Source organism: Homo sapiens, chromosome X (genome assembly GCF_000001405.40).
Source record: "Homo sapiens chromosome X, GRCh38.p14 Primary Assembly".
Classification (NCBI taxonomy): Eukaryota; Metazoa; Chordata; class Mammalia; order Primates; family Hominidae; genus Homo; species Homo sapiens.
In genome coordinates, this window is record NC_000023.11 from 71045482 (window position 1) to 71073448 (window position 27967).

Below are 27967 nucleotides of genomic sequence, written 5' to 3' on the forward strand. Positions count from 1 at the left end.
ATCATTCAGGGCATGTGGGGCAGCCTCATCCAAGGCACCTGCAGCAAGGCAGGACGGACAGAGGCCGCAGTCACCGACAGGGTAAGTCCAACTGCCTTCTGGTGCCACCTGTCCCCTCCGACTGCCCAGCAAGTGCAGCCTGGCTTCCTCCTGACAGAGCTCAGGGAACCCAGCTCTGCTGCCTGCTTCCGCCAGGCCCCCACCCATTCCCCAGCCATTTCCCCCTCTTCACCCATTTCCCCTCCCCCCACAATCCCCCATTCCCAAGTCCACAAGTTTTGTTTTTTTGTTTTTGTTGTTGTTTGAGACAGGGTGTTGCTCTGTTGCCTAGGCTGAAGTGCACTGCAACCTCGACCTCCTGGGCTCAAGCGATCCTCCTACATCAGCCACTTGAGTAGCAGGAACCACAGGCACATGCCGCCATGCCCAGCTAATCTTTTTATTTTTTGTGGAGATGAGGTCTCTCACTATGTTGCCCAGGCTGAAGTCCACCATTTTTAATGAACTGCTGGAACACTTATTGTGGTGTAATTTGCTCATCAAACATTTACTGAGCATTTACTATACATCAGGCACTGCAAATATAGGGATGAAACAAAAATGTCCCTACACTCAAATAAGTTTACAGGCCGGGCGCAGTGGCTCAGGCCAATAATCCCAGCATTTTGGGAGGCCCAAGCAGGAGAATCACTTGAGACCAGGAGTTCAAGACCAGCCTGGGCAGCATAGTGAGACCTCGTCTCTCCAAAAAAAAGAAAAAATAAATGTTAATAGCTGCAGTGAGGTTGAGGCTGCAGTAAGCCGTGGTTGTGCCACTGCACTCCAGCCTGGGTGACAGCAAGACCCTGTCTCAAAAAAAACAAAAGTTTACAGATGAGAAAGAAAGAGAAGTAAACACAGGATTACAAAATAATATAAAACATAAAAGAAGCCTAAATAAAAGGAGAGACATATCATTACTGAAAACTTTAATAAACAGAGGGATATATTATGTTCCTGGTTGGGACAATTTAATAATGTAAAGATATCCACTCTCCCCAAATTAAGCTGAAATTTCAACATAATCTCAACTAAAATCTCAACAACATTTTTTTGGAGAATGTATTGGCTGATTCTAAAAATCCTTGTAGAAGGAAAAGTGAACTAGTTAGGCAAGAAATGTCTGAAAACAACAGGGAAGACTTTATCAGGTATCAAAACTATGATAAAGCCATAGCAGTAATATAAAAAGTGTGATTTTGGCATAAGAACAAACATCAGTGAAACAAAATAGATGGTCCAGAAACAGATTTGTGTGTATAAGGGAATTGGGTATATAATAAAGGTGTCATTTCAAGTCGTTGGAGAAAGTAAATCATATAGTGATGATTACCTATTTGTTAGGTTGGTGCAAAATAAATTTGCCATTTTTAATGGCAAAAACTGCAATAACTTTGCACGAACCTAATATTTGAAAAAGAATTAAGTTATAGCAATATCTCATACCATTCACAAAAGTAACTTCTAAACAGTTTAAAGAATTAAAACCAGCCAGTTGTGGTGGTTCATACTTGTAATCCTAAGACTTCAGGAGGCTGAGGTGAGAGGATCACTAGAGCCCAGGAGTTCAAGACCAGTCTGGACAACATGGCAAAACCCCATCTCTTCAAAAAATACAAAAAACTTAGCCGGGCATGGTGGCCTGCGCCTGTAGTCCCAGCTACTCAGGAGGCTGAGGTGGGAGGATCACCTGAGCCCAGAAGGTTGAGGCTGCGGTGAGCCATGATCGTGCCACTGCACTCTAGCCTGGACAACAAAGTGAGACTCTGTCTCAAAAAAATAATAATAAATAAATAATAACAATAATAATAATATATAGGCCAGGTGTGGTGGCTCACACCTGTAATTGCAACACTTTGGGAGGCCAAGGCGAGCGGATCACCTGAGGTCAGGAGTTCGAGACCAGCCTGGCCAACATGGTGAAACCCTGTCTCTACTAAAAATACAAAAATTAGCTGGATATGGTGGCGGGCACCTGTAATCCCAGCTACTCGGAAGGCTGAGGCAGGAGAATCACTTGAACCTGGGAGTGGGAGGTTGCGGTGAGCCAAGATTACACCACTACATTCCAGCCTGGGTGACAGAGCAAGACTCCGTCTCAAAAAAACAAAATAAATAATAATAATAAAAAACAGGCCAGGCACAGTGGCTCATGCCTGTAATTGCAGCATTTTGGGAGGCCGAGGCAGGCGAATCACCTGAGGTCAGGAGTTCAAGACCAGCCTGGCCAACATGGTGAAACTCCATCTCTACTAAAAATACAAAAATTAGCTGGGCATGGTACTGCACACCTGTAATCCCAGCTACTCGGGAAGCTGAGGCAGGAGAATCGCTTGTACTGGGAGGCAGAGGTTGCAGTGAGCCAAGATCACACCACTGCACTCCAGCCTAGGCGACAAGTGAGACTCCGTCTCAAAAATAATAATAATAATAAATAAAAATAAATAAAAGAAGCCAGTCTTAAAAGGTTATATACTGTATGATTACATGACAGGTTTGAAAAGGCAAAACTATAGTGACAAAAAACAGGCAGTGATTACTGGGAAGTAGAGGGGAGGAGTAGGCTATAAAGGAGAACTGGGAATTTTTTGAGGTGATGAAACTATTCTATATCTTCATTGTATTGGTTGCTACATGACTTTTTTTTTTTTTTTTAGACAGAGTTTCGCTCTTGTTGCCCAGGCTGGAGTGCAATGGCGCGATCTCGGCTCACCGCAACCTCTGCCTCCTGGGTTCAAGCGATTCTCCTGCCTCAGCCTCCTGAGTAGCTGGGATTACAGGCATGCGCCACCACGCCTGGCTAATTTTGTATTTTTAGTAGAGACTGGGTTTCTCCACGTTGGTCAGGCTGCTCTCCAACTCCCGACCTCAGGTGATCCACCCGCCTCGACCTCCCAAAGAGCTGGGATTACAGGCGTGAGCCACCATACCTGGCCAGTTGTTACATGACTTTATGCATTTGTCAGCACCTGCAGAAATGTATACTCAAGATGAATTTTACTGTATGTAAGTTTACCTTAATTAAGAAATGAAAAAGTGTATAATTCCAGCACACATCCATGCATCCATGCGTGCATGAGCATACACACACATTTAGAAATGTATGAGAACAAAGGAACACACAAGGACATTTTCAGAGGTGATGGACATGTTCATTATCTCAATTGTGGTAATAGATACATGGGTGTGTACATATGTCCAAATTCATCAAATTATATACTTTAAGGATGTGCAGTTTAGTGTACATCAATTATACCTCAATAAAGCTGTAAGAAAAAGGGGGGAAGAAACACATGAGAAGAAAATATAAATGAATATGTTTAAAACCTTGGAGCAAGAACAGCCATCTTAAGACTAAAAAAGCAAAAGCTGGGCCAGGTGTAGTGGTTCATGCCTATAATCCCAGCACTTTGGGGGCCGAGGTGGGCGGATCGCTTGAAGTCAGGAGTTAGAGACCACCCTGCGCATCATAGTGAGACCCCATCTCTACAAAAAAAATTTTTTTTTAATTAGCCAGGTGTAGTGGTATGTGCCCATGGTCCCAGCTACTGGGGAGGCTGAGGTGGGAGGATTTCTTGAGCCCAGGAGTTCAAGGCTGCAGTGAGCTATGATTGCACCACTACACTACAACCTGGGTGACAAAGTGAGACTTGTCTCTACAAAAAAACAACAAAAAAGTAAAAGCCATAAAGGAAAGGAATAATATATCTGACTACATCAAAATTTAAAGTTAATAAACATGAAAAAATACTTAAATTCACTAATAATCATAAAACTGTGAATAAAGAGGAGATATTTTTTGCCTGACAGACTAACAAAAGTTTAAGAGATTGATATCAAGTGTTGGCAGGAGTGTAAGGAAACAGGTACTCTCATATACTGTTTTAGTTTTCTTTTTTTGAATATCATTTCTGACACAAAAAAAGGACTCATGTACCATTGTTAGAAGCATTTGGCCTTTTCGAAGAGCAATTTTGCAGTAATAAAATGTAAAATGTACATACTCTTCAATCCAGTAACCCTGTAATTCTACTCTTCAGTACCTACCTTAGAGAAACATTGTCCATAAAAAAGAGTTAATGGCAAATGACAACCCCAAACTGGAATCTACCTCAATCAGTGCTTCTCAAACTATCTGTGGTGACCAGGTGCAGTGGCTCACTCCTGTAATCCCAGCACTTTGGGAGGCCAAGGTGGGAGGACTGCTTGAGGCCAGGAATTCGAGACCAGCCTGGGCAACACAGCAACATCCCATCTTCAGTAAAAAACAAAAATGAAAACTATCTGTGGCAAAAGACCAGGGGTTTGGGGTCTTTTTGTTTGTTTTTTTGTTTGAGACAGGATCTTGCTCTTTTGCCCAGGCTAGAGTGCAGTGGTGTGATGATAGCTCACTGCAGCCTTGACCTCCCAAGCTCAAATAATCCTCCTGCCTCAGCTTCCTGAGTAGCTGGGACTACAGGCACATGCCACCATGCCCAGCTAATTTTTTTTTTTTTTTTTGAGACGGAGTCTTGCTCTGTCACCCAGGCTGGAGTGCAGTGGCGCAATCTCAGTTCACTGCAAGCTCCGCCTTCCAGGTTCACACCATTCTCCTGCCTCAGCCTGAGTAGCCGGGACTACAGGCGCCCACCACCACGCCTGGCTAATTTTTTGTATTTTTAGTAGAGATGGGGTTTCACTGTGTTAGCCAGGATGGTCTCGATCTCCTGACCTCGTGATCCACCCACCTCGGCCTCCGAAAGTGCTGGGATTACAGGCGTGAGCCACCGCGCCCGGCCGTGCCCAGCTAATTTTTAAAATTTTTTGTAGAGATGAGATCTCACTTTGTTGCCCAGGCTGGTCTCAAGTGATCCTCCTGCCTGGGCCTCCCAAAGTGCTGTGATTACAGGCGTGAGCCACCACGCCTGACCCAGCTTGGTTTTTTTTTGTTGTTGTTGTTGTTGTTATTTTTTTGGTAAATTTCCAATCCATCACAGACTGATACCTTTGTAGAGAAAAAACAAATTACTAGAAAAGTGATCATTCACTTAGATGCCATGGCCACATGAAATTGCTATAAAAGGTTTTAAATGCCTATCCTCAGTTCCTATACTAATCTCCTTGTGTACAGGTGACAGTTCACAACTGGCACCAGTCTGTGGAATACAGTTTGAGTAGCACTGATATAAATATCCATCAGAAGGGAAGTGAGAACTACTATATGACCCAGCAATTCCACTTCTGGATATATACCCAAAAGAATTGAAGGCAGAAATGTAAACAGATATTTGTATACCTATATTCATAGTAGCATTGTTCACAATAGACAAAAGGTGGAAACAACCCAGGTGTCCTTGACAGACGAATGGACACACAAAACGTGGTATGTATGTCTGTATATATACACACTTTGGAATATTACTCAACCTACAACATGAATGAACCTTGAACACATTATGCTAAGTGAAATAAGCCAGTCACGGCCTGGCACAGTGGCTCATACCTGTAATCCCAGAATTTGGGGAGGCCAAGGCGGGCAGATCATTTGTGGTCAGAAGTTCAAAACCAGCCTGGCCAACATGGTGAAACTCCATCTCTACTAAAAATACAAAAATCAGCCAGGTGTGGTGGCGCGCATCTCTAGTCCCAGCTACTCTGGAGGCTGAGGTGGGAGAATTGCTTGAGCCCAGGAGGCGGAGGTTGCAGTGAGTAGAAATCACACCACTGCACTCCAGCCTGGGCGACACAGACTCCGTCTCAAAAAAAAGAAATAAGCCAGTCATGAAAATACAAATACTATATGGTTCCACTTATATAAGGTTACCTATAATAGTCAAATTCATAGAAACAGAAAATAGAATGGTGGTTGCTAGGGTTGGGGGTGGGGACAATGGGGAGTTATTGTTTTGAGTTTCAGTTTGGAAGATGAAAAAATTCTGGAAATGGATGGTGGTAATGGTTGTATAACAATGTAAATGTACTTAATGCCACTGAAATGTTTCCTTAAATATGGTTAAAATGGTAAATTTTGTTACATGTACATTTACAATAATATATGTGTGATATACTCAACCAAAACATCCCAATAGATCAAATGTAGAGGCAGATATGAGACTCCAGATGTCCACTATTATTAAGCCAGACATTAATGAGACTTGTAAAAAAAACAAAACAATTTTACTCTTCTCAATAACATTTCTTGCTTTGGAAAAGTTATTTTGCTTTTCTTTTCTTTTTTGAGACAGAGTCTCGCTCTTGTCACCCAGGCTGGAGTGCAATGGCGCGACTCCTGCAACCTCCACCTCCCGGGTTCAAGCAATTCTCCCGCCTCAGCCTCCCGAGTAGCTGGGATTACAGGTGTGTGCCACCACATCGGGCTAATTTTTGTATTTTTAGTAGAGACGGGGTTTCACCATGTTGGCCAGGCTGTTCTCAAACTCCTAACCTCAGGTGATCTGCCTGACTCAGCCTCCCAAAGTGCTGAGATTACAGGCGTGAGCCACCGCACCCAACCAGTTTTAATTTCATTGAATAGAGAGAGCCATAAACCTACATAAACAAATTCTGTTAGGAATGTCAAGGGGTCCTGCAATCAAGAAGTTTGGGAACCACTGCCCTAGAGAAACTGTCATGTTCAGGAATGCTCATAGCAGTACCATTTGTAAAAGCAAAATATTGAAAAAATCTAGTAGTCTATCAATAAGGAAATGGTTAAATAAACTGTTTTATAGCCATACAATGGCATAATACATCACTTTTTTAAAAAAGAAGTAAATCTGCCCGGGTGCGGTTGTTCACACCTGTAATCCCAGCACTTTGGAAGGCCAAGGCGGTTGGATCACTTGAGGTCAGGAGTTTGAGACCAGCCTGGCCAACATGGGGAAACCCCATCTCTACTAAAAAATAAAATAAAATAAAAAGTAAACCTAGATGTACCAAAATAAAAATGTTTCCAAAACACTGAATGAAAAAACTTGTGGGGTATGTACAGTAGGGTATAATTTTTGTTAAAATAAAAACACAACACAACGTATTTTCTACGATAACTAGAAAAAAAGACCTGGAAGGCTGCCAGGATACACACCAAACTGTTAACAGCAGTTACTCTGGGGAAGAGGGAAAGAGGACAAGGATTGTGCGTAATGGCCAAAGTGTTAGCCCCATATATGTATAGTGTTTTGATTTTTTTTTTTTTTACAAGGAGAATGTACTGGTGTAATTAATTAGAAAAATAAATAAAAGCAAGGAGGTCAAGCCCACTGACATTGAGGAAGAAGGGATTTTCTGAGTAGGGGCTGTAAGGGCTAATGTACTTACTGCAGTGGTCTTAGAGCTGATGAGTCTAGGAAGGAACCACAAGGGGTGAAATCAGGCAACAGAGGCGGCAGCTGGCTGAAATGGTGGAGGCCACCTAGATGGCGGAACTTTCTGGGTCACACACTTCCTGCTCCCTTCCTGAGACTTAATACAAAAAAGGCCTTCACAGCAGCAGAGTGCAGCCTCTCCCGCTTCTGCCGCGAATCGGGCCACAATGCTTGCAATAAAGAACTTCATCCTGAGGCCCGCAAAGTATTGTCCCATTCCCTGGTCCCTGATCCCCACTCCCCAGGCCCAGGCCCATGACTTCAACGGCCCCATCTCAGGAAGAGCCCCAGGCTGGCGTTTGTGGAACGAAACCGGCAGCCTAAGGCAGGACCTTCCTAACGGCTGGACAAGCGGACTACGGCTTCATTCACCACGGCACAACCAGAGACATTCTGAGACGCCAGAAGCGTGACCGGGGTAGAGGATACCTAGGTTGCAGGAAAGCGCAGTTACCAAATCGGGCCTCTGGAGCTCCCAGGAAACCCGCTGACAGCTCCAGGGGCGCGGGGCAGGCCTCGCTTTCGAAAGCAGCGCCACAGCGTTCCTATTGGTCTTCCATTCCAGCCAACCAGCAGGTTTCCCTGTGATCCACCCCTCAACTAAGAGGCCAATCAGAAGAGGGTATGTGCTTCCCATTGTGTACGACAGGTATGTGCTTCCCATTGCGTACGACCAATTAAAGCTTATTTCTGATTGACACTTGGACAGCCAACCAGAAGGCCTGGTAATCCGACCTCTTATTATGGTCACCATCATGATCTTGGTCCCCATCCTTGTTCCATCCCTGCCAGGAATCAAACGTATGGATCTGGGAGAAATAACTAGACAAGGGGTCCAAGCTGGAGGGATGGTGGCTCAAGAGACAAAGTAATATTTCCCCGAGTATCAAAGCAGGTTGCCCATGAGGTCAGAAGAGCATGTAGTTGAGCTGTCAGTGCTGCTCTGGGCTTGACCTCAAGTAGTGACAATCTGAAAAAGGTACTGGTTGTGAGAGCGCCTCAGATAATGTTGCTTTGTCACTAGGCTAATCGCTTCATCTTCCCCCAGAGTCAGATGGGAAGAAACTTACAAACACTCAGGGCCTTTAATTAAGTGTGATGGTTTATTTATGGTGAAGAGTGGTCAGTATCCTCAATTAGCAGCAATAGATACTGCCTCTAGAACGACCAAAAGTAAATGTGTGGGGAAACTAAAACCTGACAGTGGTATCATTACAACTAAATGTACCAGAAAATGCAAATTAAAACCATGAAATATGATTTTCACCAAATAGTTTGGATAATTATCAATTATTTAAATTTTTACCACTTTTGGCAAGGAAATTTTTGTGAACAGAATTTCCCCACTTTGGGTGGGGAAACATTCTCATTTGCTGTCACTGGAAGCCTAAACTGCATTCTTTAAGAAAGCAATTTAGCTTTAGCTATCAAAACGTAAAATGAGGCCAGGCGCAGTGGCTCATGCCTGTAATCCCAACACTTTGGGAGGCTGAGGCAGGAGAATCGTTTGAAGCCAGGAGTTCGAGACCAACTTGGGCAACAAAGTGAGACCACCCCCCTCCCCCATCTCTACACACACACACACACACACACACACACACACACACACACAGTAAAAGACACACACACAGTAAAAGGCACACACCTTTTGACCCAGCAATTCCTTCTCTCAAAATCTATCCTACAGAAATACTTACACACTGGAGCAAGGTTATATGTAGCATTATTTATAATAGTGAATGATTGGAGACAAATTTGCATCAATAGGTGAATCATTAAATTGTGATACAACCATACCATGAAATGTTATGCAGTCATTTTTTAAATGAGGTAAATTTCCATGTATTAATGCAAGAGGAGGTCCAGAATACAATGCAAAGTGAAAAAAGTTGCAAAACAGTACATATAATATCCCATTTCATTTAAAAAAAACCTATATACAAATGTGTGGGTATTCATATATGTATATATGTGTATATTAATATATAAACACAAACAGAACAACATCTGGGAAGACACACACCAAATTAAGTTATTCTTGGAGAATGGGAGTGGTGAGAGGGACTAAGGAAAAATCTTTCACTTTTTACTTTACACATTTATGTTTTGCTTGAATTTTGTTGGCTAACATTAATAATTTTTGAATTTTTATCACAATAAAACATTTTAACAAAATAGGCACTTTTGTAATCAGATCAATAGAGTTATAATGTATGTGTTTTAAATAAAAATAGCTCCATGGGGGCTGGGCGTAGTGGCTCACACCTGTAATCAATCCCAGCACTTTGGGAGGTCGAGGTGGGCAGATCATACGGTCAGGAGTTTGAGACCAGCCTGGCCAATATGGTGAAACCCCGCTTCTACTAAAAATACAAAAATTAGCCGGGCGTGGTGGCATGCCCCTGTAGTCCCAGCTACTCTGGAGGCTGAGGCAGGAGAATCGCTTGAACCTGGGAGGCACAGGTTGCAGTGAGCCAAGATCACACCACTGCACTCTGGCCTGAGCGACAGAGCAAGATTCCCTCTCAAAAAATAAATAAATAACGCCATGGGGTGACTACTTCATTTTAAAATTTTAGCTAGAAGACTTAGGATACAATTAGAACAACTGTAAACCAAATCAACTCTGAGTTTCAATGGGGGTATACTCATGACTTGATATAACAGGATGTGGGCAAACAAAATCTAATCAGGATAATCGTTCATTTCTGAAAGAGAAAACTACACTACAGCAAACTCCATCATATAAAGGAAAAATTGTGCTTTCACTTTTTTGGTGGCATCACCTCCAATGTTTACTCAACTCCTTGGCAAGGGTGGGAAATCATAAAAAGCTAGAGATTTAAGATACCTCAGAGATCATTTGGTCAAAATCCCTCATTTAGTCGAAATCCCTCATTGTATAGTTCAGAAAACAGGCCTAAAATGGTGAAGCAATTCAACTAAGGTCCTATAGCTAGCTATATAGCCAATTTTAGAAGTCAGGTTTCTATTCCAGGTCTGGTACTCTTTCTGTTTCTTTTCAGATCTTCCTGAGTCTTCAGTATGATGAAATTATGAAATATTTTTAAATTTTATGATTAGACATCCCTATATTTAAATGTTACAACAAAAATGCCTAACAAAATTAAAATGTACATGCCTCCATTAGTACAGATGATGAAAAGTTCACTGTATCTAGACAAAAAATATTATTGGTATAACATTCTCTTGAAAAGTAATACATAAATCAGGCCAGGTACAGTGGCTTACGCCTGTAATCCCAGCACTTTGGGAGGCCGAGGCAGGCAGATCACTTGAGCTCAGGAGTTCGAAACCAGCCTGGCCAACGTGGTGAAACCCCGTCTCTACTAAAAATACAAAAATTAGCCGGGTATGGTGGTGCCACGCTTGTAGTCCCAGCTACTCGGGAAGCTGAGGCAGGAGGATCGCTTGAACCTGGGAGGCAGAGATTGCAGTGAGCTGAGATCACGCCACTGCACTCCAGCCTGGACAACACTGTGAGACTCCATCTCAAAAAATATATATATACATATTTTTTTTCTGTGAATCTGAATGTATTTTACTGTTTACCTAAGAACTACTGTTTTATCCCAATTTCTAACTGTTCTTCAACTGGCACTGCCTCTTAACCCTTTATCTTTAGTTTCTTTATATCAAGCAGTTGATGACCTATATAAAAACACTTAAAACCACCACAGGAAACACCTATTTAAAGGAAGCCTGCAGTGATTTAAAGAATTCTTTTTTGATGTTGACAATTATCCCTGGTTTGTCTGTTTTATAAGGAATGAGTTCTCTGTTTTTAAATGCATAGACAGACAGGGTATGGACAGAAGAAATAAAATAGGCAACAACTGGTTTTTGTACAAACAAGGTAAAAAAAGAAGATAAGAATGAGGGGTGGTGGGTGGTCAGGAAGGGAGTGGCAGAGAACCACATGCTAAATTAGTCACTAAGACTTTATATTTCAAAAGTAAACTCAAATACTAAGATATATAAATGGAATAACAACTACCTAACCTTCAGGCTGTAATTAAAGTGTTGTCCAATTTAAGACTCTACAACTTGAGGACATGTGAGGGCCTTGGAGAGATTTCAGAATAATAAAAAGATAAAAGGGTTAAAAATGAGCCAAGTAAGGAAAAATTAGAACTTATTATATCTAAGAAGAGAATACTAAGGGTGACTCAACAGTTTTCAAGGATATGAAGAAATATCCATTTCAGTGAGCAGCTGTTCTACATTTCCACAAAAGAAAGTAATTTTACTTAAATTATTACAGCATATATTTCAACATAGAAGTAGGAATATCTTCAACATAGAAGTATCTCATGTAGGATAACTATCAACTCCAGAGAAGCCTGAATGTTATCCACCTCTCCCACCTTTACTGGCTTAATTCCTTGTCTCAAAGAATGGGTCAAAGGGTAGATAAGGCATCTTTGGAATGTGAAGATTTAGACTTCTTTTGGGTCTAGCTATGTTCAAAATTTTTCGTTAGCCTCTGTCCCCCAGGTTCCAGCATAAGGTTAAGCCCTTTCTGCACTATAGATAAAGGGGATTAATTAGTGGTAAACATGCAAATACCCATGTAAATTAGAATTCCTTATCAAAGAAAAGTATGCTTCTCCTCAGTGTTAATGGGTAAGAGGGTTTGGATTTAGGATTCTTGCCTGGCCCAGTTAATGTGCCAAAATGGCCAATTTGACATCCAAGGGAGATTTACCTGGCCTGATATTTTTAAAAAAGAAAAAGACTGGACAACTAACCAGATGTGCCTGAATCTCTTACTCTGTCTCTAGCATTTTCCTGCCTTGTATAGACATCTCTTCATTTTGTTTTGAGGCTGGAGTGCAGTGGTACAATCATGGCTCACTGCATGGCTCACTCCACAACCTCCTGGGCTCAAGCAATCCTCCGGCTTCAGCCTCCCAAGTAGCTGGGACTATCATGTGCCACCATACCTGGCCAGATTTTTAATTTTTTTTTTTTTTTTTTTTTGTAGAGATGAGATCTCACTCGGTTGCCCAGGCTAGTCTCCAACTCCTGGGCTCAAGCAATCCTCCCAAAGTGCTGGGATTACAGGCATAAGCCACCACGCCCAGCTAAACATCTCTTCAACTGAACTCTTAAGGTCTACGAAAAAAGAGAATGTAATATCATATTTTACTTGTACCACAACCACTCCACCCTATCCCCAGCCCTGCTGTTAGCATAGGACCAGACACACAGAAGACTATTAGCACTTGTTAAATGAGTTGTCATCTGTCCAAATTTTTGTTAACACTTTATTTTATAGCTGCTTTTCTATTTATTCTGCAGTTCATTCTCTAACACTGCTGCCTATGAAGGTTGCATCTCTCTTTACCCTTCCTTTCCTTTATTTCACAGAAATACCCATTCTTCCCTATCCCCTCAGATATTTTTAGTCATCTCATTCATGAACTACCAAAAACCTCAACTTCCTCACAGCCCCCACTCTTCTACTTAGAACCAAATACTGCTAAGTAACATTAATTTCCTTTTTTTTTTTCTTTTGAAATTTTTTGTAGAGACAGTGTCTCACTCTGTTGCCCAGGCTAGTCTCAACCTCCTGGGCTCAAGCAATCCTCCTGCCTCAGCCTCCCAAAATGCTGGGATTACAGGCATGAGCCAACCACATTCAGCCTTAATTTGCTAATGTTTTGAACACATCACTTTCTGTACCTTCTTTCCATGTTGAGCTACATCAAAACTAGCTTTGATTTTCTAAATGACAAGACTGCTACCTCCCCTCATTCCAACCCTTGCCAAAACCCACTCTGTGTAGGGAAACCATTTCAGAGCTCACTGGTCAGATGAATATCCACCCACCAAAAGTTCTGAGAGTTCACCCACCTTTCTGCCTGTGTCAAATTTATTTGGGAAAAAAAACAGTGTCAGTTGAGATAAAAAGCCTATAGAAGAAATGTTTGTTGGTGTTGTGTGGGTGTGTCAGAGGATGAACACATGCATGTGTGTTTATGTACATGTATTACATATGCAGACACACACATACACACATACACACACACATATATAATAAATATATTCTGCCCAAATTAGCACAAACCCACAAGCTTAAAAACCAAATCTGCTAAATCTGACTCAAACAACAGGTACTGAGCCTACAGCTACTTCCTGCAAGCAGATGCATTACCTCTGTGACAAAGTCAGTTGTGAGTTGCAAAAAGGATAGGTAAATATCATTAAGATAAGTTAAGATTCTGCTTTCTAAAAAAATTTAAATGCAAAACATTACCTCAGGACACTGGCCACACTGTATGATTTCTGCATAATACCCAGCATATCCTAGACACTAAAGAATACTAAATTTACAACTTAAGCAGGAAAACAGAGGCTTGCTTCACAGTGGTTTAATATGAACAGAGTTGAATATGACATTGTCTGACAGAAGAATGAACAGTTTGCTGAATAAAAGCCCCGAGTCAGGATATATATACACAGCAGAAATGGGGCCTCAGACTCTCAGCACTTGTGCACAATGAAAGAGGAAATCGTTTTTAAAAAATGTCTATAACAGAGGATACAAATCAAAAAGGCAGCAACAACAACATTGGCGAGGTGGGAAAGGGAGCAGAGCCTCTCATTAGGGGCTGCTTAGCCCCTGGCGCAGGCTCAGCAGCTGGAGAGCTGTCTCAGGGAACTTCAACATTTAGATGGGTTCCAAATCCTATGTCAAAATACAATCCTAATCTCTCTGATCAGGGTCAGTCAGAATCAGCAATCCTTTTCCACAGTGCCCTGCATAGAAAACTCCAATCTTTCCATGATAGGGAGTCTAAGCAAAGAGCCCCCACCTCTCACCTGGCACCAAAGTTAACTTACTCTCACCCCACCACTTGGGACAGACGTTGGGCCCCAGCAAACAAACCACCCCCTCCAAGACAGAAACCAGGATAGTTGCCAGCCTCAAGAAGCTGCTTCAAATGTTAAGATTTAGGAAATCCATACCAAGCTGCTATCCATAGTTCAACTTCTGGGGAAAATGCTGGAGTTGCATGAGAAACAAGTGCAGGCAGTTCAATAACCCTGTGACCACGCTGGGGAGGGCAGCAAAAACTCTTGCCCCTGAGCCCCATTCAACAACTCAAAGTGCTTAGGAGAAGTCAGAGACTGTGTGGTTGGTTTGTGTGCTTCTGCCCTGTGGCAGCACTAAATGGGATGGGGGAAAGGAGAATGGAAGGAAGACAGTGTTGATGCCCTTCCCTACCGCGGGTAAGAGCCTAGAAGATAATCCACTCCCACCCTTCAGGGAGTTACCTGGCAGTGGTGAGTTGCCCCCACCCCTCAAGCCACCAAACCTGCAAAGCTAACCCATAAAGTAGCAAGGGCTTAGGGAGGGAGAACTGCTGGCCCATACTGACTCACCAGCTGATGAGCAAAAATAGGCAGCTAGAGTGGGAGCCACAAAGGGAGAGGGGCTAGGCAATAGGAGCTCCCCTACTGCCCTATGGCTTTCTTCTGACTCTGAAGCAGCCATAATGATGGGCCCAGAAAACCCACACACCCTGCTCCATACAACAGACTGCTTGGACTCTAGGAGGATTACTGCCATGGAAAGCAACAAGGGAGAGAGAAAGCAACAAAAGAAACTGTTAAGAAAACTGGGAGCAGGCCTGAAGAAAACAAGGAAAGCTTCTGAGTCTCTACCACCTTTCCAAAAAGGAAAAAATACATGCAGTTAGGAAAGGCAGGGTTTTTCCCTGCTCAGTGTTCTTGGTTAAACCTAAGAGTAAGAAAAATCCCCTGAACTTGCAGCATCAGTATGTATCCAAGTGCCTCACCAGCACAAGCGCCCCCCTCCCCCCAGGTTAGCCTTCTGGCATGGGTAAATGCCCAAGAAATTGCCTTCCAGTCTAATCCCCCCACCCACCCACCCCAACCCCAAGCAAAGGGCATCTGCCTGTGGGTTCCCACCTCTCCTCAGAGAAGAGGATCCTAGCAGAGTGCCCACATGGTGTAGTCAGGTACCAGGGAGCACAATGCCAGACAGTCTATCAGGCCAGGAGATGGGCAGCCAACTTCAGATCAAAGACAGAGAGAGGCTTAGTGTAAAAACCAATGTCATTTCAGCAGGAAAGTAGAGGGCAGGTGGTGAGAGGGGCTCCTACTGGCGCACCTTCCCCGGGACGTAGTTCCTGTCAATTGCCTCCTCTTGCAGGAACATGTGTAGGCAGCGTTCATTCTGAGCCAGTGGGTGCCCAGCAATTCTATAAAGAAACCAGGATGGTTATCAGTAGTATTCAGAATCAGAGAGAATTAGCAGAGGGATGGGGATGTGGACAGGGGAAGAAGGGCAAGGTCAGCCCTGAGGTTCAAGCCAGTAGAGGACAGCAGTAGGGTACCACCTCAACCCTAATATTGTAAAGGGGACGGGGGATAGAGGGGCAAGACAGGGAAATCCCTAGATATAACCAACATGCAGTGCTTTCTCAGGCCCTGACACACAGGATCAGAATCCTACTCAAAGGAATGGAGTTTTACTGTCCAGTCAGCCCACCACACAATTGGCACCACATCATGGTACCCATTATAAAAGGTGAGCTGGGTGCGGTGGCTCACGCCTGTAATCCCAACACTTTGGGAGGCCAAGGCAGGTGGATCACTTAAGGTCAGGAGTTCGAGACCAGTCTGGCCAACATGGTGAAACCCCATCGCTACTAAAAACATGAAAATTAGCTGGGCATGGTGGCCGGCGCCTGTAATCCCTGTTACTCAGGAGGCTGAGGCAGGAGAATCACTTGAACCCAGGAGACGGAGGTTGCAGTGAGCCGAGATCACACCATTGCACTCCAGCCTAGGTGACAGAGTGAGACTCTGTCTCAAATAAATAAATAAGTAAATAAAAATAAAATAAAAGGTGAGGTAAACAAAACATATAGAAAGACTACGATGGCAAAAGTAGCAAGTGGAGCCCCCAGGAACTTGGCTTACTTGTTAATAAACTGCTCGAGGCCCTGCCTCCTTTCTTCGATGAAAGACTCCTCAAAGATCCCTTCATCTCCTCGGAAAGGGAGCTGCCGCTTCAAGGCTTTCCCAGGCAGTGGTGGTACTACAATCTGCAGGCACACACAAAATTCCAGCCACATGGGAGAGAGACAGAGTGGGAATGAGATGGTAAAGCACCGTGTACCTCATTTCTTATTAGGCATAGGGTCCATCCTGTCCCACAGCCAGCAACTTGCAAGAACTAAGACCATAAGAACAGTCAGGATGGCTCAGGTCAAAAATTAATCCGTTTCTGTGGGAAGACAGGTTTACCACCTCAAAAGAAGGAAATAAACTCCAAATAATCCTCACTTTCCTTAACAAGCCACTACCATTCAAGAATTTAGCTAGGATTTTCCTGACACTAGACTTTCCATTTTTAGCACCTACAGGAATTAAGTTGTACAACTTTACTAGCGACTAAGTGAAGTAATACTTTAAAAAAAAAACTTGTCCTGAACTTACCACTTTCTTTTTTTTTTTTTTTTTTTTTTGAGACAGAGTCTTGCTCTGTCATCCAGGCTGGAGTGCAGTGGCACGATCTCAGCTAACTGCAACCTCTGCCTCCCAGGTTCAAGCAATTCCCATGCCTCAGCCTCCCAAGTAGCTGGGATTACAGGCATCCACCACCACACCTGGCTGATTCTTGTATTTTTAGTACAGGCGGGGTTTCACCATGTTGGCCAGGCTGGTCTTGAACTCCTGACATCAGGTGATCCGCCCGCCTCAGCCTCCCAAAGTGCTGGGATTACAGGCGTGAGCCACTGTGCCCAGCCAGAACTTACCACTTTCAAGTTTCAAAAGGTATCCCCCCGATCTAAAATACTGAGATTTGATGGATAAGAATGTGTTCACCCTCTTCATTCCCTTCAAGACTTTATAGACTGTGGTTGTATGCCCACTCAGCCTATGCAGAGCTCCTCCTCCAAAGATGCCACACAGAGAACAAAGCCATACCTTGCTATCTCTCTCCAGCTCATTTTTCAGCCACTCAAAGTCACTGTAGCGCCGCCGTACGCAGGACTCCTTTAGCTTGAAGATAGGTAGGTTTGTCTACATGGAAGGAAAAATTAAAGAAGAAAGATGGTAATGTTCAGCCTGTGGTAGCCACCTGTCTGAGTAACTTGGACAGGTCCCAATGAAGAAATAGCTCCTATGGATCATGCTCCTATAACCCCTTCAAATCACCACCAGGTAAAAACCAACCCTTACCACATCCAACCTTATCATAGCTGATGATCAGAAGTCCCTTGCTGCTTTGAATTTATCCTACAAGTAGACTTGCAGTAGTATGTAAATATGTACATATAAGAGTTTTCACCAGGCTTGGTGGCTCACGCCTGTAATCCCAGCACTTTTGGAGGCCAAGGCAGGCAGATCACTTGAGGTCAAGAGTTCAAGACCAGCCTGGCCAACATGGTGAAACCCTGTCTCTACTAAAAATACAAAAATTAGCCAGGTGTGGCGGCACACACTTGTAATCTCAGCAACTTGTGAGGCTGAGGCAAAAGGATCACTTGAATCCAGGAGGCGGAGGTTGCAGTGAGCCAAGATCACACCACTGCACTCCATCCTGAGAGACAGAGTGAGATTCTGTCTCAAAAAAAAAAAAAAGAGTTTCACTGCATTTTATTATTTATAATAATAATAAATGTCTATGAATAGACAATAGGTTACAATGAATTATGGTATACCTGTATAGTAGAATATTAAATAACTATGAAAAGAATGTGAAAGCCAGGTGCAGTGGCTCACACCTATAATCCCAGCACTTTGGGATGCCGAGGCAAGGGATCACCTGAGCCCAGGAGTTTGAGAGCAGCCTGGGCAACCATAGCAAGATTCCATCTCTACAAAAAGTAAAAAAGCCAGGTGTAGTGGCAGTGCTCGCTTGTGGTCCCAGCTACTCAGGAGGATCACCTGAGCCCAGGAGGTCAAGGCTATGGTGAACTGTGATTATGCTACTGTAATCTGGCACAGAGACTCTGTCTCTCGAAATAAAAATGAAAGATCTCTATGTGCCAGTATGGAAAGATATTAAGTAGTAAAATCAAGGTATAGAACAGTATATATATATAGCTTGCCTCTATTTGTGTTTTAAAAAGGGATGTATATGTATATATTTATACTGATTAATAAAGTATTTATGAAAATATACTGGTAATGGTGATTGACTTTCGAGAGTAAGAGAAGACAACTGGAATGGGTGGAATAGTCACATTTTTCATTGTACAATTTGAATTTATCATGTGTACATATTACATTTTCCTTTAAAAAGTGAATTTAAATTCCCTGTAAAGAGATAAACACATCCAAGGTATGCCTACCTCTGCTCTTCCTGTCCAAATCCTCTCCATTCTACCAGTGCTCACTCAACTCTCACTTCAAACAAAAAAATTTTCTGACAACAACAACTGGATTTATTGGTTTTCCTCCTCTCTGAACTCTTCTGACAGTTATACTTTAGCATTGCCTGATACACTATTGTTTTATGCATCATGTTTGCCTTGTCTAACTAACTAATCTCATTAAGATCAGAAACTATGACTACTTCTGCATCTTCTAAAATGCAGAATATGCAAGTTACTCAATAAATGCTCAATTGATTAATAGAGACTCTATGTGTCTGTTTATCCTCTCCTCATCTAGAAAATGCATAAGAAATCACCATTACAAAAGTTGGCTTACCATAGCTTGCTCCCTGATATAAATCAGCTCATTCCCACATTTTAAACACTGAGAAGATTCCCAAGGCTCTAGTGGCAACACGAATCCCCTGACAGAAAACCCTGATCTTCACTCCTGTCTACAAGTTCTAAATAGAAATGGCCAACCACATGTATTAATACTGACCATATTTACTGCCAGTCAATTCAGGTGAGAGGATGAATAAAATAAACTAGTTATCTCCTTTCTCCACAACTGCCTCTTGGCAGGAAAAGAGCAACTCGAAACTCCATTAGAGCTTCACACAGAACCCACTACATCATGCTTTGTACTCCTTGACACTGGAAATTGTCTTTTCAGGATCCAGTTCTCAAATAGGCCATCAAAAGCCAAATAACTGGCCAATTGTACATTAAACTCCATCCAGGATCGTCAAGGTCCAAGGAATGTCAATAGGTTGAAATGGAGTGAGATTCATATAAAGTAAGATTACTAAACCATTATTTATTTAAAAGAATAAATAAGGGCTGGATGCGGTGGCTCACGCCTGTAATCCCAGCACTTTGGGAGGCGAGGCAGGCAGATCACTTGAGGTCAGGAGTTCGAGACCAGCCTGGCCAACATGGTGAAACCCTGTCTCTACTAAAAACACAAAAATTAGCCAGGTGCTTGTAATCCCAACTACTCAGGAAGGTGAGGCAGGAGAATCGCTTGAACCCAGGAGGCGGAGGCTGCAGTGAGCCGAGATCATGCCACTGCCCTCCAGCCTGGGTGACAGAGCAAGACTTTGTCTCAAAAAAAAAAAAAAAAAAAGAATAAACAAGGCCAGGCGTGGTGGCTCACACCTGTAATCCCAGCACTTTGGGAGACTGAGGTGGATGGATCACTTGAGGTCAGGAGTTCGAGACCAGCCTGGCCAACATGGCGAAACCCCATCTCTACTAAAAATACAAAAATTAGGCCGGGCATGGTGGCTAACACCTATAATCCCAGCACTTTGGGAGGCCGAGGCAAGCGGATCACTTGAGGTCAGGAGTTCGAGACCAGCCTGGCCAACATGGCGAAACCTGTCTCTACTAAAAATACAAAAATTAGCCAGGCGTGGTGGTACATGCCTGTAATCCCAGCTACTTGGGAGGCTGAGGCAGAAGAATCACTTGAACCCGGGAGGCAGAGGTTGCAGTGAGCCGAGATCATGCCACTGCACTCCAGCCTGGGCTACAAGAGCAAAACTCTATCTCAAAAAAAAAAAAAAAAATTAGCCAGGTGTGGTGGCACCATGCCTTATGCCTGTAGTCCCAGCTACTCCAGAGGCTGAGGCAGGAGAATCGCCTGAACCTGGGAGGCATAGGTTGCAGTGAGCTGAGATCATGCCACTGCACTCCAGCCTGGGTGACAGAGCGAGACTCTGTCTCGAAAAAAAAAAAAATTGTGGAAGGGACCGATTAAAAGTTTAGTGAGTAGAAAAATTTTGCATGCTAAAGTTTTGCTACTAAGTGTTGTCAAGGAGACAGAAGTGTAGCAGAAAGAATATGGAGTCAGACATATTTGTGTTCAAATTCCAGCCCTGTCAGTTATAGTTACGTGTACTTGGGCAAGTTACTTAAACTGCATTCCTCCTCAGTTTCCCATGTGTAAAACGAAGTTCTGTAAGGATTAACACAAATTAAAACCTAGTTCAGTGCCTGGTACACAGTAGGCACTAGATGAACAGTCCCTGTTGCTATTAGAATACCTGGAGTAGGGCCAGGCGTGGTGGCTCACGCCTCTAATCCCAGCCCTTTGGGAGGCCGAGGCAGGAGGATCACTTGCGGTCAGCAGTTCAAGACCAGCCTGGCCAACATGGCGAAACCCCGTCTCTATTAAAAATACAAAAATTAGCCAGGCATGGTGGCATGTGCCTGTAATCCCAGCTACTCGGGAGGATGAGGCAGGAGAATTGCTTGAACCCAGGAGGCGGAGGTTGCAGCGAGCCGAGATTGCACCATTGCACGGCAGCCTGGGCAATAGAACGAGACTCCATCTCTTAAAAAAAAAAAAAAAAAAAAAAGAATACCCTGAGTAAAGAGCGATTTCATTCAGAATCCCTAAGACTCTTGGGTAATGCATTGAATGTCTCCAAAACCCCACAGCAGACAGCCCTTATGCTGTACTAGTCATGCCCAAGCTCCCTCAGGTAACTAAGTTCTCCAGCACTGACAATTTCCTGCTTTTATCATATTCTGAAGGACCTAAATTCCATTCTCCCCCAAAGACATGATTTCACATAGTTCTTATATAGACAAGTGTTTCTCATGTTTTGCTATTCACTTTTCTTTCTTCAGTTTGGACTTTGCCAAACTTGGAATCTGGAAATCATAATTTCTCAATAAGATTTCAAAGCCCAAGTAGGAGACCACAATTTCTCATTCAATTCACTCCTTCAACAATGAAAGCACATACACTCTTTTAGTTCTTCAATGCTGTTTGAGCAGGATGCTGTCCACAGAGAATATTCTGGCCTTTTAGTCTGAGAAGAAAACATAAGGAAAACTAGAAAATGATTCTCAAACTGTTTTGCCTATAACCACTTCAAGTGGGCAAAAGATCCTGCAAACCAAGTACTCTATCTGCACATTCCATCCTTGCATTATGGGCTAAGCACTAGAGAGTAAAGTCCTCTATCATGCATGCTGGAAGAAGCCACTCCTGGGCAATTCTGAAATGTCATGTATTAAAGTAACTACAGACCAGGGTCAGAATCCAAAAGGGTAATCTAGGACAGAAAGGGCAAAAAGCCATTCATATACAAAGTACCTAAACGAGAGTCAATAAATACTGAAATAAACATTCTGGATACTTCAAATCTAAAGGATCCACATAGAATGAAAGCAGTGACTGACAAGGCACCAATCCCAGGGCCAGGCCAGGTTTCAAGGCGAGACAGCACGTAGTATCTGCGAAAACTTAAGCATAAAACATTTCTCTCCTTCAGATGCTGATCCGACACAAGTTAGGAAAGCGCTCGGTCTCAAGGAGACTCCCTTTCTTATTTCTGCTCCCACAAGCCTACTGTCTGCCTTTTCTGGAATCTACCTTCCCTTTAATTCAAGGCTTTGCTTTACTCCATTATCCCAGGGAGACCTCATTAGAAAGCAGCCGGCCTTCCTGCCCTCCCTCTTCAGACTTCTCACAACCTAGTTTAGTTATGGAGCTCAGCGATATATCGCCTTGGCTTTCCATCCCCCAGCCCTCTTCCATCCTCCCTCCCTTCCTTCAGTCGCTACAGCCGTGATTCCTATCTCCTTGAATTCCTCACTCTAATCTTTTTCCATCCACCCCACCCTATCCAGCCATGCTTCACTTCCTCATGGGTAGCTTTCCTGCATCCCCGTCCGATGTCTCCCTCAGGAGTTTTCTGCATCCTCCGGCCACAACTGAATCGGCAGACCTCGTTCCAAGCCTATTATACCCCTAACCCCCAAATGACCCCTAAGGCGTCTTCCCCGCCGTTAGTTGCCCCCGCGGTAGCCTCCCTCCCCCCTCCCGCTCGCGCCGCCCGGTCCTCCCTCAGCTGTCTCCCTCACCCCGTGACTCACCCGCATGCGAACCTCATAGGTGGTGAAGCGCGCGCGTCCCACGCCCACCGTCTGAGGATTAAAGATGTCGATCTCCAGGAAGTTACTTGGCGGCCCGTAAGCGTCGGTCAGGTCCTGCGGCTTCGAGTTAAGGCGCCGGGTATCAGCTACTGCCGTGTCCGACATCTTTCCGAAGGAGAGCCTGGGACCGGGGAAAGGGGGTGGGGGACAGAGGCCTGAGGCAGGAGCGCGCACGGCCCCTCCCGCTTGCAAAATAACTAGCCAACCCACAGGCGGCGGCGGCGCGCACGCGCGCCCACGCACGCACGCGCACGCCGCACGGGCCTGGGCCCCGGGCTCTGAATAGCGGCCGTGCTGACTGCTGCGCGCCCTGTAGAGTGGAGGCCATATTCAGGCTTCCGGGTGATGTTTGTGGCCACCCGGGAACCTGCATCCCCAATACGCAGTACCCAATACCCTGCCTAGCAGCACAGGCTGGCTCCGCCAATCGCGGCTCCTCAACCCAAGAAATTGTCTCGTACCGTGTATCAATCAACAGTGGGCACTGCCCCGTGAGCCAGGCTCCTACAGTGATAGGCCGAAGCCCAGTGACCTGAATAAGTCCTGGTTTTCCGCGAAAATAGAAGGGTGGTCTATGGAGGGTGGGGTTCCAACAATAGTACTGAGAACCTATAACGTAGCCGTCCCACCTGTGCCACTGATGGTTTCAGTTCACGCCACACACAATGGCGCACTCAGCACTACGTATGGCGCCAGGAAAGCAGCAAGCAACTAGGATGGGGTAAAGAAAGACATTTCTCTCTTACTTTTCAGGAAAATTGGGCATATCTTACTCCTTGTTGCCACACTCCAGGTGTACTCAATCTTACATTTATCAGCAAATTGAGGGTACTTATTTCATACCTTCTATTTCTACTCCGCAGAACTCCATACTTGGCACTGCTCTGAGGTTGCTTGCAACCCATAATGGAGATAGAATAAATGTTTACATGAGAATATCTATAGAAATATTAATATTTATATGACTAATTTACATATGCTCCACATTAAAGGGTAGACTGGGTGATGATTTCAGGTCATCCTTTCTCCACCTTTCCCCTGCCCTCCTCTACTCAAAAAATATTTCCCATATCACTGATGCCTGAAATTCTTTCAACAGAGTATGAGGCCCTACAATTTCACAATTGCTGTTTAATTCAATTTAACCAATATCCACTAAGCAAATACGTGCCAAGCACCATGCTAAACACTAAAATCCTGGAGTTAAATAAGAGTCCCTGCCCTCAAGGAGTTAACATTCTAGCAAGGGAGACAAGTAAACAAAACTAATATAATGCGACAAATACAAAATAAGTAAATGTTCAAAGCAGCACATAGGAAATGTATAACTGGAAAAATTAGGGGAGGTTCCCCTGGAGGAGGAAACATCTGAGTTTAACAGACATGAAAAGACATAAAGGACAAATAGGAGTGGAAATAGGGAAAGGTAATTTCTGGAATAAGAAACAGCATATGCAGGCCGGGCGCGGTGGCTCACACCTGTAATCCCAGCACTTTGGGAGGCCGAGGCAGGCAGATCACTTGAGGTCAAGAGTTCGAGATCAGCCTGGCCAACATGGTGAAACCCTGTCTCTATTAAAAATACAAAAATTAGCTGGGCATGGTGGCACACGCCTGTAATCCCAGCTACTCAGGAGGCTGAGGCAGGAGAATCGCTTGAACCCGGGAGGCAGAGGTTGCAGTGAGCTGAGATCATGCCACTGCACTCCATCCTGGGCAACAGAGCAAGACTCCATCAAAAAAAGAAAGAAAGAAAAGGAAAAGAAAAGAGAGAGAGAGAGAGAGCGAAAGAAAGAAAGAATACACAAAGTCCTTGCGATAAGAAACAGTGGAGCATTTTTAGGCATTTATCGCCAATTCAGACTGTGTGATGGAAGTGTTTAGAAAGGTAGACTGGCTAGGGATGGGCAGACAAAGGATGATCCGCTTATATTAAGTAAAGGATCTCTGACTTCATGATAGGTGATACAAAGCTTTCTGGTAGGTGATAGGGAGTCCCTGAAGGATCCTAAGCAGGAAAAATACATGATCAGATTTATGTTTTAGAAGAATTGTTTTGTAGACAACATGGAAGGTATATTTAAGTTGAATTATGAAGGTATTGACAATAAGACTCCGAATCAAGTGGTGATGGTGACAATGGAGAGGAGGGAAGAGATAGGAAAGAGATTGAAGAAATAAAATAGATACGACTTGTACGTGATTAGATATGGTGGTAGTATAGTGTAGGGCTTAAATGTGTGACCCATGAACTTAGGCTGCCTGGGTTTAAATCCTTGCTTTCTAGCTGTATAACCATGAGCAAATTATACAAACAGTTTTCCTCATCTGTAAAAAATGAGTTCAGTTTAGATAAATATGGGGTGTCTGTAGAACATCCAGGTGGAGATGTCCAGCGAGTAGCTGGAAATACTGGCCTGGAGCTCGAGGGCGAGGTCAGGGTTAGAGAGATAGAGATATGAGAGTCATCAGCATACCATGTAGAAAGAAAAACATGAAGAGGCAAGGACAGAAGATTTGAAAGTTGGTGAGGGCATGCAGTTTTGGTAGGAATGTGAATCGGTACAATCTTTCTGGGAAATAGATTGGCAGTATGTATTTTTTTTTTAAACTTTGACTTGAAGAAACTTGTAATACTGGTTGTCTCTGGAGAGCAGAACTGGAGAAAAGAAGTCACAGACGGCAGGGAGGGTTGTTTTTCATTAACTGTGTTTAAGTATAATGCCTTTGTATTTTTTATTTTTAATGTTATTTACCAAAATCTTTAACTCAAAAGTTTTACTTCCAATAATTTATCCTCAGAAAATAATCAGATAATCACATAAAGATACCAGTGTAAGGTTCTTGTTTTTAAGAGCAAATAATTGTTCATTTTCTGCAATATTTGTGTAGTCTTTTTTTCTAATTTGTGAATTTGCTTATATAACAAGTATTATAAAGGGGTAGTGGATTTTATATTTTACAAGGCTTTTTATCTTAGTCACTTCCATCATAAATTTCACTATCTTGTGTAAATGGCCTAATTTACAGTTCCCCTATCTATCCATTTAAAATAATTTCTTATGCTTGTTGATACAGAATGATGTCCATGAAAAAGTGAAAAAAGCTGGCAAAAAATATTGTAGTATGATATCACTTGTATTAATGTATATTTTATATATAATAATTAATATAAATAATTATAATTATAAATAATATAATGTAATATATAAATAATATAAACATATAATTATATATAATTAAATATAAATAATTATATATTTATATAATTATTATAGTTTATATTATATATAATTATTATATTTATATATTAATTTATATATATATTTATATTTATATATATTATATATAAATATATAATATTTATATATTATATATATAAATATATAATATTTATATATATTATATATAAATATATAATATTTATATATTTATATTTATATATCTATATCATTATATATAATTATTTATATATAAATATATTTATATATAAATATATAATATATAGATATATAAATATATATATAAATATATATTTATATATATAAATAATTATTTATATATAATTTTTAAAGTCTGGAAAGACATGCACCAAAATGTAGCAGCGGTTACCTCTGTGTGGTGGGGTTTCAGTTGGATTTTATATTTTTATAATTTTCTAAAGGATCTGATTTTTTAACAATAAACTTACATTTATTTTTTAACCAGAAAATGTAAAACTATTTCCATTTGGGAAAACCATTAAAGGGCAGGCACAGAAAAGAACAGCTTGTGGGCCGGGCACGGTGGCTCACGCCTGTAATCCCAGTACTTTGGGAGGCCAAGGCGGGCTGATTGCCTGAGTGCAGGAGTTTGCGACCAGCCTGGGCAACACGGTGAAAACCTGTCTCTACTAAAATACGAAAAATTAGACGGGCGAGGTGGCATGTGCCTGTAGTCCCAGCTACTTGGGAGGCCGAGGCAGGAGAATTGCTTGAACCCGGGAGGCGGAGGTTGCAGTGATCCGAGATCGAGCCACTGCACTCCAGCCAGGGCAACAGAGCAAGACTCCATCTTGGGGAAAAAAAAAAAAAAAAGCTCGTGAAGGAGATCAGGAAGGAGTGGTCAGAGAGGTAGGAAGAGAGCCAGAAGACAATAATGATCTGAAGACAACGAATAAAAATGTTTCTCAAAGGAGCAAATAGGTGGTTAATAGTGTTTAATATAGTAGAAAGGTCAAATAAGATAAGCCCTGAGAAATGTCCACTAGATTAAATAATTACTTAAATGAGAACAGTTTCAGTAGAGTCCTGGGAGTAGAATCCAGATCATAGTGAATTGAGAATTGAATCAGAGGTAAAGAAGTGGAAACATTTAGTAGAGAATCTTTTGAGAAACTTGCCTAAGAAAGAAATGTTGTAGCTAGAGAGCCATGCATAGTCAAAGAAGGATTTGTTTTTTAGGATAGGAGAGATTTAAATATGTTTAGCAGCTAGAGGGACCAATTCCATAGAAAGTTAAATATATAGGTGAGTGACAAGATAAGGCTTAAAATCAAATGGCCCTAGGAGAATTGTGCAAGTTAAATTCACAATGAGGTGTAAATAAATGATAAATGATCTTTGAGGGAAAATTTTGATAGGGTGAAAAGAAGAGGACAGTAGAGGGTACTGGGCTAATTAAGTCCTTTGCATTAATAAGGCAATAACAGCTAGCTGGCTTCCATACACACACACACACACACACACACACACAGAGCACCCTTTTTATTTTTCATGGCAGGCACAGAAGTTCAGAGTTACTAAGTGATGTTGGGTGAAACACAGTTATCCTCTGTACCTCAGTTATCACACATACACACACACACACACACACACACACACACACACACACAAAGAGTAGCTGAGTCAAATCTCTTGACAAACAGGTGACATCAGAACTTGATGTGCACTTTCCTCTCTATTGCGTTTCCTTGACCACAGTGATTCTTGGCCAAAAGGAGTCAAGAATGGGGGCGGTGAGAAATGGAGATTTAGGACCTTTAAATTGTATGGAATCTCATTAGTTCATCATCCTGCCCACAGGCAATACTGTACCTTAATCAAACAGACACCTATTCATCTTCCTGCCCGTACATTTTTCTCAAAGGACATTTCACAATCTCCGACTCGATGTTATGCAACCATACTGAAAAGAACTTCTTTCGATTCTCTCTTCAGGCTGTCCCAAGGAAATGGCAATCAAAAGCCCCTGTAATTTGGGGTGTTT

General features: G+C 42.7%; 1 protein-coding gene across 6 annotated transcripts, besides 5 other annotated features; it reads right to left on the reverse strand.

Moving 5' to 3' along the window:
- Positions 8169-8218: an enhancer, noted in NCBI's record as "active region_29734". NCBI's record gives its function as "activates an Ori minimal core promoter by ATAC-STARR-seq in GM12878 lymphoblastoid cells {active_cell/tissue: GM12878}" and the evidence as "EXISTENCE:reporter gene assay evidence [ECO:0000049][PMID:35858748]".
- Positions 8239-8298: an enhancer, noted in NCBI's record as "active region_29735". NCBI's record gives its function as "activates an Ori minimal core promoter by ATAC-STARR-seq in GM12878 lymphoblastoid cells {active_cell/tissue: GM12878}" and the evidence as "EXISTENCE:reporter gene assay evidence [ECO:0000049][PMID:35858748]".
- On the reverse strand, positions 13766-27945 carry SNX12 (sorting nexin 12). Of its 6 annotated transcripts, none has more exons than NM_001256185.2 (5): positions 27796-27945; positions 22661-22841; positions 17373-17468; positions 16362-16486; positions 13766-15637 (listed from the first exon to the last, which is right to left on the reverse strand). In NM_001256185.2, the coding sequence occupies exons 2-5, from the start codon at positions 22823-22825 to the stop codon at positions 15535-15537; spliced, it is 489 nt and encodes a 162-aa protein (NP_001243114.1). In that variant the 5' UTR covers positions 22826-22841; positions 27796-27945; the 3' UTR covers positions 13766-15534. The 6 variants fall into 6 exon arrangements, with proteins under 6 accessions (NP_001243114.1, XP_047297994.1, NP_001243117.1 ...); XM_047442038.1 differs by lacking the exons at positions 22661-22841; positions 27796-27945 and adding exons at positions 19104-19230; positions 21525-21586; NM_001256188.2 differs by lacking the exon at positions 27796-27945 and having other exon boundaries at positions 22673-22853.
- Positions 22816-23009: a silencer, noted in NCBI's record as "fragment chrX:70288147-70288340 (GRCh37/hg19 assembly coordinates)". NCBI's record gives its function as "represses an EF-1alpha promoter that drives an FKBP-Casp9 reporter gene in an ReSE screen in K562 erythroleukemia cells {active_cell/tissue: K562}" and the evidence as "EXISTENCE:reporter gene assay evidence [ECO:0000049][PMID:32094911]".
- Positions 22816-23068: a biological region, named in NCBI's record as "ReSE screen-validated silencer GRCh37_chrX:70288147-70288340".
- Positions 22849-23068: a silencer, noted in NCBI's record as "silent region_20894". NCBI's record gives its function as "represses an Ori minimal core promoter by ATAC-STARR-seq in GM12878 lymphoblastoid cells {active_cell/tissue: GM12878}" and the evidence as "EXISTENCE:reporter gene assay evidence [ECO:0000049][PMID:35858748]".
- Positions 27946-27967: the final 22 nt, after the last annotated feature.

Coding starts and splice junctions, on each gene's coding strand:
- SNX12 (NM_001256185.2), bottom strand. CDS start 22,825: ATGTCGGACACGGCAGTAGCTGATACCCGGCGCCTTAACTCGAAGCCG. Junction 17,469..22,660: donor CCTATGAGGTTCGCATGCGG/GTGAGTCACGGG, acceptor CCTTCCATGTAG/ACAAACCTACCTATCTTCAA. Junction 16,487..17,372: donor AGCTGGAGAGAGATAGCAAG/GTATGGCTTTGT, acceptor GTGTGCCTGCAG/ATTGTAGTACCACCACTGCC.